Source organism: Homo sapiens, chromosome 11 (genome assembly GCF_000001405.40).
Source record: "Homo sapiens chromosome 11, GRCh38.p14 Primary Assembly".
Taxonomy (NCBI): domain Eukaryota; kingdom Metazoa; phylum Chordata; class Mammalia; order Primates; family Hominidae; genus Homo; species Homo sapiens.
Window position 1 is genome coordinate 79,072,434 of NC_000011.10, and position 18,982 is coordinate 79,091,415.

An 18,982-nucleotide genomic window follows, 5' to 3' on the forward strand; every position below is an offset into this window, starting at 1 on the left:
CTGTGATGGTACCACTGTACTCCCCGCTGGGCAAGAGTGAGACCCTGTCTCAAAAAAAAAAAAAAAATTACAATATCTTACATAATGACCCACTACACACATTGATGTATGCGAATGTGTGTGTTTACATGTATAAAAGAGAAACAAAAGATTCACAAAAGTTATTGCATGATGAGAAATGCACTCTGATATGTTCTATCTCATTCTCTTTCATTTTTAAAAAATGACTGATTATAACTCTAAATTGATATCACAACCCAATACTGGCTTTCAACGCAAAGCACTATTCTGGTATAATTTGAATGAGGATTTATGGCAACTGCTGCCTCTGCCTGTTTACTTCTAACCCCTGAGTGACAATAATGATGATGATAATAATAAGCATAAGTACTCCATAATGTTAGCCATTATTAATATGACTCACTAATAACTCATATTAATAACTCATAATATTAATAATGGTTTGAACAATATAGCTAATAGACTCTTAGTAGCTAATATTTAATTATTGCTTGCTTTTACTATGATTATATATAACATCTTTAATCCTCACCCCAACCCTGTGATATAGGTATTATGATTCTCTGCAAACTGCAGATGAGAAATTGTGAGGTTAAGTATGCTGCCCAAGGTTACATGGCCCTGGCATGGTGGAGAAAAAATTGTGATCCTGAGGTTGAACTCAGCAAATGGGTATAACTGCTGTATGGGCTGTGCCAGGGGAATTTTTGAGGCCCAGGTCATGCTATTGTCCTGCTTATGCCCTCTAGCAGCCCTGCTGAGCCTTTGGGGTCAATTCTGGCTTCCTGGTCAAAATGAAGGCTCTTGTCAGTCTGGCTCACCTCGCTTCCATCTTGCTGAGCCACTCACACTTTCCTGGATGTGAATTCTGTGGCCTCTCTGACTTTGTGCATGATGTTTCATCACTGCACATGCAGCCCACTAGATGATCTTTTTTTCATGTCTGCCTCTCCCCTTGACTACGGTTCCTTGAGGGTAGGTAGGCTTGGTATCCGGTGCTCACAAAATGCCTGTTAAGTGCATGCATGAATGAAACTACTTGGCAGCTACTTCATGTCTTCTTATTAAGCCTCAATAACATAAAATATTAGTAGTTCACTACCAATTAAGTAAAGTATTACGTAAATCTAAGGCTGAATTAGAGGCGTTGCTCACATGTATTCTTTTTTTAAATTTCAAAGGTAGCCCAGGCTTGCGGTATGCATCCCCCACTGACCGGCTGAATGACCTTGGGCAAGTTATTTAACCTCTCTGTGCTTCAGCTTTCTCATCTGTAAAACCTCTTAGGGTTGTTTTGAGGATTAAATGAGTTAAGATGTGCCCCTAGCATATACAGCCCCTGATACACAATGAGTGCTCATAGATGTTAGCTATTATTATCATCAGAAAAAACAAACACATTTTCTGTTTAAAAGGCATAATGTAGAAAGCTACGGGTAAGTGTCAGTTATAACTGGGGAAGGGGCATCCCCTCAGAAGCATATGTAAATAAGGCTGAGAAACGTTTTAGGCTGTTAAATTGGTGGGTGACTATTTCCTCTTATCAGTGTGTGCCTGTTGACTGAAGACATTGGCATCAAGGCAAAGGCTCAGTAATCACAAATTATTAAGAACATACACACCTAACGCACAGCTTCCCTGTCACAAAGCTGAGGCAGGGAGAACATTCGCCTGGTTCTCATTTCCTTAAAATTTTTTTTTCACATTTTAGGCTTAATATAGTAATTCAGCAAATATTTACTGTTTTTGAACAGATGGGAGGTCAGTTATGGTTCACACTCAAATTGGCATTTAACAGAGCGAGAAAGAAGAGGTTGGGGTGAAAGAGGAGTGACAGTGGAGAAATGCTCCCTCTGGAGCAAGGGACTTCAGTACAGTGACCTGGAGCCCCCCGGCAGAAGGACAGAAGGAATGCTGGGGAAGGGGCCCACCTCAGACCCTGCAACCCCCAGCCACAGGTTCAGGGACAGAAGCACATGGCACATATCCATGCCTAAACGTGTTCGCTCCCTCCTTACCCACCAACCTCTGGGTTCCCCATAAAACCCATGAGCGTGACATCCAAGGCTTCTGGAGATCTGAACTTTCCTTGTCTCTCTCTGCTTCCTCTGGCTGCCACAGAGCAACCTGTCTCTCGCAGACTCATATGCTCCATTTCAGTCATGCAGAACTGCCTGCCATTTGCCAGACATCCCATACTCTTTAACATTGCTGAGCCTCTACAAGTGGTGTTGGGTGGACTCACCTAAGGGCGGCACCAGGAGGAGATGGGGGCAGGGTCACATTAGGTGAGAGGCCAGAGTGTGTCTTCCCTGCCCCCACTAGCTCTCTAGTCCTCTGTCCATGCCTTCTCTGACAGGTAGCCCCTCCTCCAGGCCTCCGCTTCATACTGGGCTCTGCTAACATCTTCCCCTACCCTCATCTGTGCAGGACCAGGGATGTGCCAGTTTCTTGCTGTTGCTACAGCCCAGGCGTCTCACCATCAGGGCTGGCTCTCAGACCCTGCTGCACCTCCGTCTCTTCATTAAAGTCTGCTCCTCTAAGCCATCTAGAGTGAACTGTTTCCTGTTAGGATCCTGACCAATGATACAGCTTCACCCCTTACTTTCTGTTGGCTTTCAGCAATCATCATCGTCATTGAACTAATAATAACACCAGCCACCACTTACTCAGGGTTTGCCATAGGCCAGGCACCGGTCAAGTGCTTGAGATGATTTCATTTAGTTCTCATCATTTCTACCTCTGTGAATCGGTCCCATTTTATTGATGAAGAGCCTGCGGCTTAGAGAAGTAAAATAACTGGCTTGCAGTCACACAGGAAGAGACTCAAGAGCTGGAAGTGTCCAACTGCAAACCTTCTTTCCAGAACCCTCTATCCTGACAGTGATAGAATGAGCTCCAGGCTAGGAGTAAGGCCTGTCCTGGCCACCTCCTAGCTGTGTGGCCCTGGGCACAGGACATTTAACTTACTCCAAGAGGCTGAGTTTGTTAGATGTTTTGTAAACTGTAATGTACTAAATTGGTATAAGGGATTGGAAAATCATTACTGTCAATGCCATCATCATTATTGTGTTGTTATTTCTAAACAACAAATTATGTAACTACTTTAAACCTAGACCAAATTAGGCAGGTGAGAATGTTTTGGGAAGCTCAAGTAGCAAATATATAACTAAGGACCAAACTAGTAGCTCAGTCATTGTAGGCCTCAGGCTAAACAAAGAGGCTCCAATCAAGACGAAGAGCATGTGGCCCCCAGGTGAGCACATTGCCACTGACGCCATCTGTGAGATGTGTAAGACCCTGGCAGGGACTCGGCCTGTCAGTCTGCTCCAGACATGGCGCAGTGTTCTGAAACTCTTCTCCAAGCAAAACCTGAGTACCACAAAGGTGCCTTAGAGAAGAATTCATTTTCACAAACTGTTGCAGACCAGTCTAGTGCTGGGCACTGGAGGTTCCAGAGAGGAGCGGGTCACAAGCCCTCCAGTGACAGCTCACCATCTCTCTGGGGTGTCAGCCCTAGGGACCATCACCATCAGTGACAAATGCTTTGATAAAGTATAAACTGCAGTTTTATAAGCTTGTTCTTATGCTAACGTGGGTCTTGGTTTTGGTGTGTCTGTGGAGAAGGAGAGTAGGCCCAGAGGAGAGGAGGGAAGAAGACATATGTGTTGAGCACAGTGCTTTTCACATACCCCCATGAAAGCCATAATTATTTCTCGTTTTTGAGGCCAGGCTAAAAGATCCAGTTATCTGATCAAGTTCACACAGCCAGTAAAGGACAGGGCTGAGACCTGAACCCAGACCTTCTGAATTTAAAATCCATGTTTGGGTGGTTGTATGAGTTTGTTTTCACGCTACTGATAAAGACATACCTGAGACTGGGTACTTTATACAGGAAAAGGGATTTAATGGACTTACAGTTCCACGTGGCTGGGGAGGCCTCACAGTCATGGCAGAAGGTGAAAGGCACATCTCACATGGTGGCAGACAACAGAAGAGAGAGCTTGTGCAGGGAAACTCCCCCTTATAGAACCATCAGATCTTGTGAGACTTATTCATTACCACGAGAACAGCATGGGAAAAACCGGCCCCCATGATTCAATTACCTCCCACAACACGTGGGAATTCAAGATGAGATATGGGTGGGGACACAGCCAAACCATATCAGTATTTTTTTTGTTTTTGTCTTTTTCCTTTATGTGAAGCTGGGCTTGGATGGATCTGGAAGGTTTCAATAGGGACGTGAATGTGGGGAGGCCTGGGAGCCCCCTGGTGGTGATGGTGATCAGGGGATCACTGAAGACAGGAAAAGAAAGGGCTAGTAATGGTAAGATAACTACTGTTAATTGAACACCTCCTCATGTGCTTGGTACTGTGTAAATTATTTCAAATCCCTATAATAACTTGGTAAGTTAGGTATTATTCTTTTATTCTTTATTTTCTCTTATTTACTCTTATTTTATCAATGAGATAACAAGCCCAGAGATTAACTGGCTTGCTCTAGATCACGTGGCTTCCAAGTGTCAGGGTCTAGATTTGAAACTGAAGAAAATGTTTGAACCTCAAGAAAAGGATCAAAAACCTAGTTCCATAGGCTCATTCATTTGGTAATCATTGCTAAGTCCCTTTTCTGTCCTAAGTGCTGCAAAAGATCCAAGGAGGCGTCATAGGAGACTCCCTTCTTCTCTCCTCCCCGAACTCCCAGTTCCTACCCTCCTGTGCCAAGCCTTGTTGGAGGCATCAGAGGACAAGACAGATGTGCTTCTGACTCCTAGATGCTTCTATACACTGGGCAAGTCAGACAGAGGGAGAGGCAGGGAAGGACACCACAGGGGCCTGCCCCACACCCAGGCCAAGGTGGGTCAAAGGTGGAGAGACCATCAGGGACCACTCCCCAGAAACAGTGACATCTAAATGAAAACCAAAGAATGTCAAGTAAAAGACGGTTTTGAGGTAAGGAGAGAAAAAAGTTTAGATCTGTGGCTTTCAAATTTCTCTTGCCTACAGTAAAAATACGCTTATATTGCAATCCAGGATACACACATCTACAATTTTTTTAACTAAAACAAAAATTTCATGAAAAGATGCTGAACCTTACTGCAAGGGTGAAATCTGATATTTTATTCTCTACTTAACTAGAATTATGAATGAGATGCCAATCTACAGTCTGAAAAACACTGTCCTAGATCACAGCATGGAAAAATGAACCTGGCACAGACAAAGGCCCAGTTATATTCCGAGAGTTCAGACTCTGGGGAGGGAAAGAGGTTGGAGAGAAAGCTTGAGAAGTGAGGAGGGAGCAGCCTGGTAGAAGAAATAAAGTAACATCCCTACATGGTAAATGTAAGTGGACAGTAAAATGCAAAATGCATGTGGCAGAGAGAGCCTGCCCTCGGAGGACCTGGTAGGGAGCGTGCCCTGCAGCTAGTTTTCAGAGGCCCTGCTGCCTTGGGAGGCTGGAGCTGGTCTGGAAGAATGGCAAGAGTGTGGGGCCCGGGAGAAGGGGAGATATGGGAAATAAAGCTTTTGGTGTTTGAGGAGAAATTCAAGAAACAAACCTGGCCCCTTCACATGGGTTCCAGCAATATTTATGAAGGGGCAGGAGCCTGGAGCATTCGCAGAGAGACTTCCACAGACAGTACAGTGCTCGAAAAAACCTCTGCCCCTGCCAAAACCCGCAGGGAAATGGGGGCTGTTATCACCCCGGGTTACCTCGCAGCCTCAGATACAGCCAGAAACGAGCCAGGAAATTGACTGAATTCCTACTGGACTAAAGTTTTATAAGTTTTCCTTAACATAAGCACAGGGTGATATTTTTAGTTCTTTGTGTGTCAAAAAGGGCCCATAAATATTTCAGAGCTAAAATGTGTTCCACAAAATATAAGTCCTGGGTAGCATCTGTGTGTGTGTGTGTATGTGTAAAATCGTGAATTTTACTTTTCTTATTCCTTCAAAGTGTGGTCTTTGAGTCCTTTATTTTAAAGTGGGGGTGGGGAGGATGGCTTGTGGTGGTACCTGTTCTTGTACCAAGTATTGTGTTGGGCTTTGTGCAAACCAGAGAAGGAGGCACTCCTATCCCCACTTTACTGATTTAGAAACTGAGAGTAGCAAAGTGATGCTCAAGTTCACACAACACACCAGGACTGGAATCCGGGAGCTCTGCTTCTGAGGTCTGTACTCTCTGTTGTAGCACCCAGAGCATATTTCTCTGGCACTGTCACTTTGGGGAATCCCTGGCCTTTTTCAACAGTGAGACAGTGATTATAATAATGGTGGCTAAAAGCAAGGTCTTTATATGCATTACCTCACTGAGTTCTCACCACTCCCAAAACCATCCCCATTTTATCGACAAAGAAACCAGGATTTAGGGAGGTTAAGTATCCTGCCTGGAAGGCCACAACAAAAAAGTGACAGAGCTAGGATTCAAACCTGTGTCTGTCTGACCCCAAGGTTCAAGCTTTTAATCATAACCTACACTGCTTCCTGCATACGTCATTCTATATTCTAATTGGCTTAAATGTTCTATTTGTTCTTTCACCTTTTTTAAAAAACATTATTAATTCTTCTGTTGAACTGAGTCAGCACCTGGCCTGGACTCCTGGGAGAAGCGCTTTTACAGCTGCTGCTTGATACGTGCCCTGTACAGAAAGAGAACTGTCGGGACAGAGACAGGGCTTTCCTGGGAGCGTGGTGGAGTGTGGCTGTGTGCCCAGCCTGGCTACAGGGACATCCCTAATCAGCGGCTGGCAGGCAGGTGACAGATGGTGCCGCTGTCTACAGAAGCCATCTTGCCCTTCTGTTAGAGAGCTTGTCAGAGGCCAGGTATCAAAGGGCAGACAGCTGCTGTATGGGCACTGCTTCTCTGATCCTGAGCTGCGGAGCTGGGAGGGCTCCCCCCAGAGCTGCCTGACCCCCTAGAGGGCTGGGCATGTGCAGGGCCTAGGACACAACAGGCCTTCCATCAACAGATGGTATTATGGTAGCTGTGTCTTCCAGATTCCTTTGGTCTACATCCTTCCTGCCCCCAAAGTCACGTAGGAGCCAATGATTCCCTTTGACAAATGGTGGCATCTTAGAGTCAGAAAATGTGTTAGGCTGGGCACGGTGGCTCACGCCTGTAATCCCAGCACTTTGGGAGGCCAAGGAGGGCAGATCACTTGAGGCCGGGAGTTTGTGACCAGCCTGGCCAATGTGGTGAAACCCATCTCTACGAAATATACAAGAATTAGCTGGGTGTGGTGGTCCACACCTGTAGTCCCAGTTACTCAGGAGGCTGAGGCATGAGAATTGCTTGAATCTGAGAGTTGGAGGAGGTTGCAGTGAGCTGACATCGAGCCGCTGCACTCCAGTCTGAGCAACACAGTGACACTTTGTTTCAAAAAAAAAAAAAAAAAAGAAGAAAGAAAATGTGTTCGGATTGAAAACAACATCAAAGGTCAGCTGATTCAAGCCCCATCAGGTGCCCAAACCCTCCTCAGTCCCATCCCTACTGAGTGGTCACACCAGCTCCAGAGCTGGGGACTTTACTACCTCAGGGGGCTGAAACCTGCCTCCTTTTAGCTTCCTTCCACAGGCCTCAGCTCTACTCCTTGGGGTCTCAGGAAATAAGCCTAATGCCTTTGCCTCAGCAATAGCTCTTCCAGACTGAAGACCGGGCTGGTCTGGGTGTCTGCATCCTCTCTTCAGATTTAACATATCTCCCACAGTTTTCAAGCCCTCACCTTTCTGGTGACCTTTTCCTTGGGTTTGTCCAACCTCGTTCCCTCTTTCCCATCCAACAAGGCTTTATGAGATCCTAGGGTAGACCCGGGGACAAGGGGTTGGAGCGGATGCAGTCTTGATCCTCGAAGAGCCCACAGGAATGTCAGAAGGACAAACACGTCTACAGGTGATTCCAGCACAAAGGATGCAAAAGAGCAACTGACACAGACACCCGGGGTAGGGGGGCACTGCATCAGGTGGGGTGGGCAGCAGAGGCTGCCTGAAGGAGGAATCCCTGGGCCGGGTCTGAAAAGCCGAGCAGGGGTTAACAGGGCAGGGAGAGGAAGATGATCCCGTTTGCTGGCCTGCCTCTCCCATTGTGTTGACTGGAATCCACTGGAAGCCTCTTGGTGCAGCCTGAATGTCCCCCCTGCACCCCTTTCTCCTGTATCTGACACATGTTGCCTTGGGGCACTCAGTCCCATGTGGCTTTCTTGGAAGCCAGACCCACTGGGGCCCCAAGTACAGCTGGCTGTTAGGACTCTGAGTTTCCTTGTAAGCAGCACTTTGGGAAATTGCCAGTCTCTTCTGTACTTCAGGCCCCAGGGAAAAATACTTCCTTCCTTCTCCCTAGAAAAACCCTTTTCCTAGAAAACCCCTTCAAGGGTCAGGCCTGAAACCCAGTTTATTGGATTGCCAATTCTCTGTAAAAACATTTTTTTCCTGACTTTCTCTGGGCTTATTCTGGGACCACACTAGGAAGCAGAGGGAAGAGGGAGAGAGGCTGATTAATCACACGTCCCCTACTGCGTCCAATCTTAACCTGTAATTACCTGGGTGCCCTATTAGGCCTCCACTCTGTGAGGTGAGAGAGGAGAGAGACAGAAGGGAAACCAACATCCCAGAAAGGCAGGCATCAGTTGAAGGATTCTGGAAATGGTGAAACTTAGTTTTAACACAAAGGCCTCCTCAGCCTGAAGGAAGTTCTTGGTTGAACACAACAGCTGGAGGAAGGGGTTAGTCCCTCTTTTCCTCTGTCTTCTCAGCCAGACGCTGGGCCTGAGTTCATACAGCTTTGGGTCTGTGGCTAAGGGAGGATTTAGAGACATCCTTTCTGCTCTTTAGGCCCAGAGAAGATGCTCTGTTGAGCAGGGAAGGAATATCACAATGGCTTCTCCGGGTGCCATCAAGATACCTTGTGTGCACAATAGCTTCTTGTCTTATAAAACTCCAGGTCCAGACACATGTAGTCTATGCCCTGGGCATACCTGACACTGATGCTAAGCTGAAAGGATAGAAATCTAGAGGTCACCATCAGCCTCTGATCACAGCTGGGAGGACAGCAGGGATTACCCAGGCTGTCCTTCCTGTCAGAGGTGGTGTGTGTGTGTGTGTGTGTGTGTGTGCATGCACACATGCTTAATGGCTGCTGGCCCACTGCTGTGATTGTTCAGAAACCAAAGGCTCTATTGTAACTCTGTTCACCAGGCCTTTTGCTATTGAGCCCTGGGGATGGAACTGGATCAAGCTCAGAACTGCTGCCCAATGGATGTGGGCTCGGAGTGCTCGTGGCTGACACAGGTTTCAATTTTGCTGGTGGGGCAGGGGCAGGGCGGGCCTAGAGGAAGAAAATTTCTGTTTTTATCCCCCCAGCCCTTATATTTCCTCCTCAGTTACTATGACTCAGGCCGTCCCTCAACTCGTGATGACTGAAGCCCACACAATAGCGGTTTGAAAGTGACCTCGGAACAGTCCTTCCCTCCCTCAGCTGGTGCTCACATGGGCTCTTAGAGCAGGTGGGTTGTCCTTGGGAAAGTCCCTGCATTGCTCTGTGCCTCAATTTCATCATCTGTTAGGAAAATGCCCACACACCTGGATCATTAACTTCATTGGTACTTATAACATCTCGATTCTTCCCCAATGCTAAGAACAGCTTAGAGGTGCATCCAGGGTTTGCTGGGTTGAACCAAAGTGAATAAAAATATACAACTCTCCATATGCCACCTCCATGGTCCTTCTAGGTGCAAAGCTCTCTGACTTTCTCTTTGCCTAATGAAAGCCCCAAAGCTGGAAACCTTTGCGAGCCAACCCTCTCCCTTGGCATCCTCTAAGTGGCTCTTTTTCGGTAGCACAAATCCACTCCCTCGGCCCCACACAAGCTCCCCAGGTTTGTGAAGGGGGCAACTGATTGTGCCCTCCTGATGCTGCTTGAAATTTTGTTTTTAGAGAGGCGGGAGCTAAGGCTTGGGGGGTTGTGACTGGCAGTCAGCCGCATCCCAGCAAGTGAAAAGCCAGAAGCTGTCAGCTCCATCCTGCTTCCTTCCACGGCCTCAGTTTTCTCTTCTGCAAAATGGGTTGGTGTGGGGTGTCACATTTAATCTATGCCTGAGAACTGCCCTGATACCCCAGAAAAATGCACATATGTGTGCACCCATGTGTGCACACACACACACAGGAATTTAAAATGCTCCATCTAGGGCTCCAAGTTCTGTGAGATGCAGTGATTGCAAAGGCCCTTGGGGAGGTGTGACTATGGGTCCTCACAGCAGGAAAGGTGGATTAGTAAAGGCATCTTGGAAAGGAAGCTATGTAGAAAGCAAGGGAGAGATGTAGCTTTGGCAGAATTTCACTGACATCTCTGGGTATCCAAGCCTCAAAGGGGTGGAGGAAAAGGCCCATAATGATAGGAAAACCCTAACTGCCTGAAGCTGCCTCCATCTCTAATAATTAAAGGCAGACTTAATAGATATTAAGGCCCTCTTTCCAGCAGCTGGGTGGCCAGGCAACTTTTATTTCAATAATTAGCCGCTGTAAGTCACACAGAACTGGAGACAGATAAAGGCAGGGCCAGTCTCTCATGGAGCTAATTGTGCCCAGAGTTCTACACGCCTAATCAAGCCTTGTGCTGCTCCCATTCCTTTCATCCAAGGCCTCAAAGGACTTTGCCGTTGGTAATTAAGTCTTATAAGTGCCGTAAAGAAAGGGATTCTCCAGGGCAGTCTGAATGGAGAAGAGGCTGCTGGGGTGGAGGTGGGGCAGGCAGTGTGCAGCTGCCTCCAAGATGGGGACAGGGATCCAGGAATAGGCCCCAGCCTCACAGCCTGTGCCATCGCAAGCCTTCGGCCTCCGTGCATTCTGTCCCTAGACAAGATAATGGCAGACTGGGTGGCTTCAGCTGGCCACCTCCTCTTGAGACTGGTTCGGTTTTGTCATCCAAAGCCTTTATACGTTTCTCAACCCGGGGGATATATTTGTTAAAAACTCCCATTCAGGCAGGGCTAATTCAAAAACCACACTCCCAAATTCTTAGTTAAAAGGGAACATGAGGGATACAGTTGCCCAAGCCCCATCTGATGCTTGAATTCCTTCTGTGAGTCCACGTGGATAGCAGCCAGCCCTTGTTTGAGCTCCCGTGACAGGGAGCTTACTCCTAACACATTTCATTCTCTAAACTTGGCCTTGGACAATTCATTCTGATAGTGAGCTGAAACTTACCTCCTGTGAGAGCCTTCCTGGCGGCCCTAACTCCATATGCCTTAGAACCTCACAAGCAAGCCAAAGACCTCCTCCCAAACCAAGACCTCTCTTCTCCAGGCTCTGGGAAGCAGTGGAGCACCATGGTTAAAAACACAGGCTTTACATCAAAGGCATGATCAAAAAAGGAAAATTTGATAAATGGAACCTAACCAAAATTGAAAACTTGTGCTCTGAAAATACCCTTAAAAGGAGGAAAAGGCAAGCTACAGGTAGGAGAAAATTTTTGCAAACCACATACTAACAAAGGAAGGCCTAGTATCTAGAATATATATATATGTGTGTGTGTGTGTATACACATATATATATGAAACTTTCAAAATGCAACAGTGAGAAACAAACAATCCAATTAGAAAATGGCCAGAAGACGTGATCCAATATTTCACCAAAAAGGATATATACACATGGCAAATAAGCACATGAAAAGATATTCACCATCGTTAGCCATCAGAGAAATTCAAATTAAACCACAGTGAGCTATCACCATACACCTATCAGAATGACTGAAATAAAAAATAGTGACAACATTAAATGCTGGCAAGGATGCAGAGAAACTGGATTACCCATACATTGCTGGTAGGAATATAAAAGTGTACAGCCCCTCTGGAAAGCAGGTTGGCAGTTTCTTAGAACACTAAATATGCAATTACTGTACAACCTAGCGCTTGTATTCTTGGGCATTTATCCCTCAGAAATAAAAGCTTATGTTCATGCAAAAAGCCGTACAATGATGTTCATAAAAGCTTTATTCATAATAGCCGAGAAATGGAAACAACCCAGATATCCTTCAACAGGTAAGCAGTTAAATCAATGACAGAATGCCATGGAATATGACTCCGTGATAAAAAACAATGAACTAATGCTACCAATAAATCACCAGGGAATTATGCTGAGTCAACACATAGCCAATCGCCAAAGCTTTCATCCTACATTATTCCATTTATATAACATGTTTAAAAGAAAAATGATAAAACTTTAGCAATGGAGAACAGATTGGTGGTAGTTAGGGGGTTAGGGATGGGGTAGGGGTGGGAGGGAGGTGGGTGTGGCTATAAAAGAGGACTGCGAAGGAAACTTATGGTGATGGAAATGTTCGTTGTCTTGACTGCATATACTCACCTACACATGTGATAAAATAGTATAGAAGTAAACACGCACATGCATGCACACACACTCATTCAGATAAATGCAAGTAAAATGGGGAATCTGAATAAGATGAGTGGATTGTATCAACGTCAACATCCTGCTTGTGTTATCTGTTCTTTTGCTATAGTTTTGTAAAATGTTACTATTAGGAGAGACTGAGTAAAGGGTACACAGGCTATCTCTTGTTATTTCTTATAATTGCATGTGAACTATAATGTTCCCAAAAATTTCAATGTAGAGAAAAGGGTTTTTTTTGGCCGGGTGTAGTGGCTCATGCCTGTAATCCCAGCACTTTGGGAGGCCAAGGCGGGTGGATCACGAGGTCAGGAGATCGAGACCATCCTGGCTAACATGGTGAAACCCCCTCTTTACTAAAAATACAAAAAAAAAAATTAGCGGGGTGTGGTGGCGGGCACCTGTAGTTCCAGCTACTCAGGAGGCTGAGGCAGGAGAATGGCGTGAACCCGGGAGGCGGAGCTTGCAGTAAGCTGAGATCGCGCCACTGCACTCCAGCCTGGGCGAAAGAGCGAGACTCTGTCTCAAAAAAAAAAAAGGGGGGTTTTTTTTTTGGGTCAGGCTTTTTTGAGTCAGGCAGACCTTGATTTGAACCCTGAATCTCTTACATACTTCTCGTACAACTTTGGATGATAAACTCTCTAAGCCTCAATTTCCTTATCTGTAAAATGGGGATAGTATATACCACCTTACAGGGTTGTCTTGAGGCTCAAATGAGGTGATGCATAGAAAGGCTCAATCCTATGCTTGGCACTTAATAAAGACTCAGTCAATAGGTGTAAATGTTGCCTTGTTATCCAGGAGAAGTATTTATTTGCCTTCCCCTGATTCAGTCCTCACTCACGTTGTCTCCATCCTGGCCATTCTTCTCTGAAAAAGTTTCTTTTGGCTAATGTAAAACACCAAGGTTGAAAATTGAAGTCAGATGCAGTCTTATTACCTGAAACTGCTCTGCATATACCCATAACCCCACACTTTACATGCTGTTTTGGCCAATTGCTTGCCACTTATTTCCTGTGTAATGTCACTTTTCCTTAATAAGGTAGCAAGCTGCTCAGATTCATATTGACCGACCAATTCTTAAACATCTACTATGTACAGTCACCAATATTCATACAAACACCACAAGCACAGCATCCTGTATTTATTACTAAGTCACCAGAACGACTCTGGAAGTGAGGCATGATGGTAGACTGCCATACTAATGGCTCCCAAGGAATCATACCTCCCTGTTTCCAAACTCTTGTGTAGTCCCCCACACTAACTCTGGGGTTGGCCACATGACTTGCATTGGCCAGTGGGCCAAGCGGATATTAGCAAACTTGAATCAGAGGCATGAAAAACACTTGAGCCTTTGGGATTGCCTTCTCCCCCTGCTTTTGGAAAACAGCTGTCATATAAAGAGGCCCAGGCTAGCCTACTTGTTGCTGGAGCCACAGGGCTGAGCCAACCAACACCCGGTAGATTATAGCCACACAGGTGAACCCAGGGGAGACTAGCTGAACCACCTAGCTTTGCCCAGCCCAAATAACTGACTCTTGGAAACAGGAACCAACATGCAGTCATTTTAAGCCACTGCATTTTAGGGTGATATGTTATATAGCAAAGGCTGGCTGACATAGGTATTTTTATAATTCCCATATTACTGGGGAGGAAACTGAGGATCAGATCATTAAGGTATTTTAAAAATAAGAGGAACTGGGTCAGGTCTGGTGGCTCATGCCTGTAATCCCAGCACTTTGGGAGGCTGAGGCGGGCAGATCACTTGAGGTCAGGAGTTTAAGACCAGCCTGGCCAACATGGTGAAACCTCATCTCTACTAAAAATAGAAAAATTAGCTGGGTGTGGTGGCTTATGCCTGTAGTCCCAGCTGCTTGGGAAGCTGAGGCAGTGGGATCGCTTGAACCTGAAAGGCGGAGGTTGCAGTGAGCCAGGATCATTCCATTGCACTCCAGCCTGGGTGACAGAGCAAGACTCTGTCTCGCAAAAAAAAAAAAAAAAAAGGAAATATTACGAGGGTAATAAGGATAATGCTGCCTAGTGTTTAAATAGTACTTTAGAACTTATACATTTCTAACACATTTTAATGTGATTTAATCTACCATTCTGTACCTTTTTTTGATAACTTACCAAAATTATATTTAAGTAGTTGCTTAATTATATGCTCTAAGCTCTACAGAGTTGGGAACTGTGTCTCTCTTGTTCGGCATAAAACCCAAGCTTCTGTCCTTGCAAATGTAGGCACTTAATAAATAATGGCTAATTGAACAAATGAACAAATGTTTCTGAGTAGCTATGATCCTGTATTAAATAAAGAACTGAAGCTTAGAGAGGCAAAGTGCCTTGTTTCCAAGTCACACAGCTAGCAAAAAGCAGGAACCAGGACTCAGATAAAGCCCAATTCTTTTGACTCTGAGTGCAGAGGTATGTCCTTAAATTTTCCATGCATTCCGAGGGTGAGACAGACAAGGAAATGATTAACTACCCCCCAGTTAGAAGGGAATGTCGTTGGATGAATTCCATATGTTTGAGGAATGCCAGTCCCCATGCTGAGAGGATTCTGATCAAACCAAGCTCCCCGCTGGAGCAGAAACATGCTGCATGGGAATCCTATTGCTTGGGATCAGAGATCGCTGTTAGCACAAGTCCTGCATGAACTTGTACCATCCAGCCTCAAATCCCTACAAGGCTTCCAAATCAAACAAAAAACCATCTAACAAACACAGAAGCGCTGAAAAGATCTGTCCTCGGCCCTGGGCCCAGTCGCATGTTCCTTAGTGAGGGATCGAGGGATGTTAGCTCTGAGCTCTGCATTCTCCTGTTTCAGATGCCCCCTTCCCTTTACAAGGTCCTTCCTGCAGCTCACTGTACAGAGGTGACATTCTCAGAATGTCCTTAATCACTCTGCACTGGGGGTGAAGGAGGGGCCCCTGACTCTAGCTGAGGAGGCCCTGTTTGCCTTCCTAGCAGTCACCAGGGTATACAGGACAAATGCTGTGCTCCTCTACAGCCTCCAGGCTGCACACGCACTACAGTGGGCTCTTGTGGGCTGAGCAGAGCCTCCCTCAGCAACTGTGGCTGCCTCTCTACCTTCCAGGAGGGCCCCAGGCTGTTCTTTCCGTGGGGAAGCTCTGGCCCTTGGCCCCGCAGCTGGCTAATGTTACACCTGGGTCACTGGAGTCTGGCTTCCCAGGGCCCGATCCTCACTTTGTTCTCTTGATTGTAGTTCTAAATTTGTTTTCATTAAGACACTCTGCCTGTCACTCCATCGGTTCTGCTTTTATGGGTCTTTAATCTCAGTTGTGAAATGTACCAGTCTTGGAGGCTCCTCCAGCTGGAGTGGGGCTGCTTGCTCTCTCCAGGGCTGAAACCCAGAGGGTGATGGTATCTAGGGCCCAGCCTGGCCTCTGCTGGCCGGCAATGGTCCAGATTGTCTAGTATGGTGTTTCTAATGGAAAGCTCCTTCACATCTCATGTCACTGAGACCCTGTATTGCGGGGAGACAGGGAGGGTGAAGGTCATCACCATCTGAACCTCACAGAGGAAGACATTCCTGTTAGAAAGAAAGGGGTGCATAGCAGCCCAGACATTGGCTCTGCAGTCAGGAAGCCAAGGTTCGACTCCCAGCTCTGTGCGCCCCAGCTGTGTGCCAGGCACAATTCACTTAACCTCTTTATTCCTCTATATCATCTTTGAAGTGGAGATAATTGACCTACCCAATAGGGTTGTTGGGGGGACTGAGTGAGTTAGAAGGAGCTTAGAACAGGCTTCGCACTTGGCTGTTTATTATGACTACTATTGCTAAGTATTATCAAGTATTTAATACTTCACTCCGGCCCAGATGCAGTTCTGGATTTCTCCGGCCCATTCACACTATTGCATTAAGACGAATGTTCCTGTTCAGCATTATTTGTTTATTCAGTCATCACTGAACAAATATGTACTAGAAACCTACTATAGGCCCCATCTGTGCTGGGATTGAAGGTGACAAGGGTTTGGTTCTTGTCCTAGAAAGACAGAGCAGGCACCAGTTTTGAGCAGGTATGTTGCAGTTTGAATCTCAGCCCTGCATAGCCATCCCAGGCCTCACTTTCCTCATCTGTAAGATGGTCAGTTGTTTATATCCCTGCCATCCTGCCTCTCCTGCAGACCCACATGGTCATCTGGGGGTCTGGAGCGGGAAAATGTGATGGAGCCTTCCCAGACAAAGCCCTGGTCTTCCTCCAGCTCTGGCCAGCAGGGAGGAGAGGAGAGCAATCCTTGAAACAATTACCTTGGGTCACTGTGCAGGCCTGTGCTCTCTGGGAAACCTGAACCACCTTCAAAGGGAGGGTTTTAATTGGCTTAGACTCTGTGCCTGCTCCAAGGGAGCATCACAAAGGGGATTAGCCCCCAAGAGGGCCAGGCCCCACAACAGGCTAGATGGCTGGAAACTGGCCCTTTTTGCCTCGACCTTCCCAAGTTGTGCCTGCTTTGGCCTGCTAGCTTCCTTCTCCTCCCATTCCACGAGCGCAAGGAAAGGGTGTTCAAGTCAGAGCCTGGTGCTAAACAGGAAACAGGAAGGGCCCAGAGAATGATTTTTAGCATAATCTAAAAGAAAGAGTCTGGGCTTATAATTTGGTCTATAGCAAGTAATTGGATCTACCTCACCAGAGGGAAGTGCCCAGTCCTTACCTGGACCTGGCACTTCATGATGTACACAGCACTGCCAATCACACTGCCCCAGCTAACCCAAAGAAGCAGGTTTCATATCCTCATCCCAATGGTTCAGTGAGCGAATAGCAAGTAGTATCCTTGCTACTTAATGTTTGGCCCACAGACTAGTAGCATTCCAATGGCCGCAGGCAAGAGTGTGGGGTCTGGCTCAAGAGAGCTGACTTTGAGACCTGGCTTTGTGATGCTAGACGAATGACACTAATACACCAATAACAAGTACACACAGTGGTTCTCATTTGCTGGGCTCCCACTAGGTGTCTGGTGATATTTGTGTGCTGTTGTGTTGCCATTTTATAGAAACTGAGAATCACAGAGGGCAAGGATTTGCTCTACATCACAGCACTTCTTAAGGGAGCTGAGATTCAAAGCCCCACACAGAGAGCCTCCATTTTTTTAGCTATATCATGGAGGTGATAAAGGTCAGCTACATTTAGATGGAAATGTCACAGGGGCAGGCAGATGTGGCTTTGAAGCTGTGAAGCACTATACAAATATATGTTTTTCTTGTTGAGGAAATTAAGCCTGCACCAGGAGAAGTGACTTGTCCAAGGTCACCTAGCTGGCAAGGAGCAGAGCTCGGACTCTACTACAGTGTTCTGATGCCCAATGTCCCTTCCACAAGGCTGCAGCTGCCGTCTGCAAGAGGATTTCCCTGGTGCAGGACAAGGGCTATGAATCTGCAGGAGCAATCAGGCTGATGTTATTTAAATACTTGGCTATTTGAAAAATATAACAACAGGCAGTTGAGAATAAATGCCAAACCTCTAATTGGTTACAAACACCACCTGAGGGCACAGATATTTGTCAGCGTGACTGATGCTTCCTGCTTAAATGCAACATGCAGACACCCGTGCAGAAGAAAGGCAGGTGGCGAGCTGCCTATGGCAGCAAGTGAAGAGGGCTGCACTGTTGAGAAGGCATGGCTTGCATCTGGCAACTCATTCGTTCTGCATTGCATTCCACTGAAGGGAGAGTTGTTACACTCCTGTTACTGATGAGAAGCCAAGGCACAGAGACGCTCAGGACTTAGCCAAAGTTGTATAGTCAGTAAGTGCCTGGGCTGGGATTTGAACCCCGAACTCCATCCCCTGTGCGCCTCTGCCTCCCATACTACTTTTGGCACTTAAGAGGTAAGAGGTAACATGTTTGGGGTTTTGGGAACTCAAGCCCTGGCCTTGGGACTTGGTGGCTCACCACTCCATCTCTGCCCATCATCCTTTCCTAAGTTCCCTATTCAACCGACGTCCCTGTGTTGGGCATGAGGCTGCCAAGATGGGTCTTTTATGGTCCTATCTTGTGGGACTTCACTGTTTAGTGGGAGAAACTGAGCCAGAAACAGATAATCCCCATCCCAGATCCTGCTGAAGGGCTGCCTCCCTCACCCATTCTGGGGTTGTGGGGGAGTCAGGCTGGCTTTTTGGGGTGGCTGATACTTGTGAGAGTCTGGAGGTACAGTGGGAAATGTCAGACGCTGGCAGTCAGGAGAAAGGGGAAGGAGTAGGTTGTTAGGTTTCAGAGCTCTTACTCCCGGTCCAGCCTAGGCGCTTACTTATTTTTTATGTGATTCACATATTGGGCTTCCATTTCGAGTTTCATTTAAGCAATCAGATCTTTGTCTAAAAACAAGCTAGAAAAACCACTGCCTTAAGACCTATTCTCTATTTGGACTGGCCTGAATGAATGATTTATAAAGTATCAGCTTGTCAGCCTGGGATAACTTGATTCATTCATTCTTCCTGTTTTCTCATTTAAGAAGTCCGTCATAAATGGCTAATTTATTCCTTTTACATATATCTATTGATTATCTGTTATGAGCCAGACACCATTCTAGGTGTTGGAGATATAAAAA

General features: G+C 46.3%; 1 protein-coding gene across 5 annotated transcripts in view, besides 1 other annotated feature; it reads right to left on the reverse strand.

Moving 5' to 3' along the window:
* TENM4 (teneurin transmembrane protein 4) overlaps nucleotides 1-18,982 on the reverse strand; it is a 788,202-nt gene that overhangs the window by 419,605 nt on the left and 349,615 nt on the right. The window lies entirely within an intron of this gene.
* Nucleotides 14,639-15,361: an enhancer, noted in NCBI's record as "OCT4-NANOG-H3K27ac-H3K4me1 hESC enhancer chr11:78798117-78798839 (GRCh37/hg19 assembly coordinates)". NCBI's record gives its function as "activates a minimal SCP1, AML or CMV promoter by ChIP-STARR-seq in naive H9 embryonic stem cells {active_cell/tissue: H9 hESC(naive)}" and the evidence as "EXISTENCE:reporter gene assay evidence [ECO:0000049][PMID:30033119]".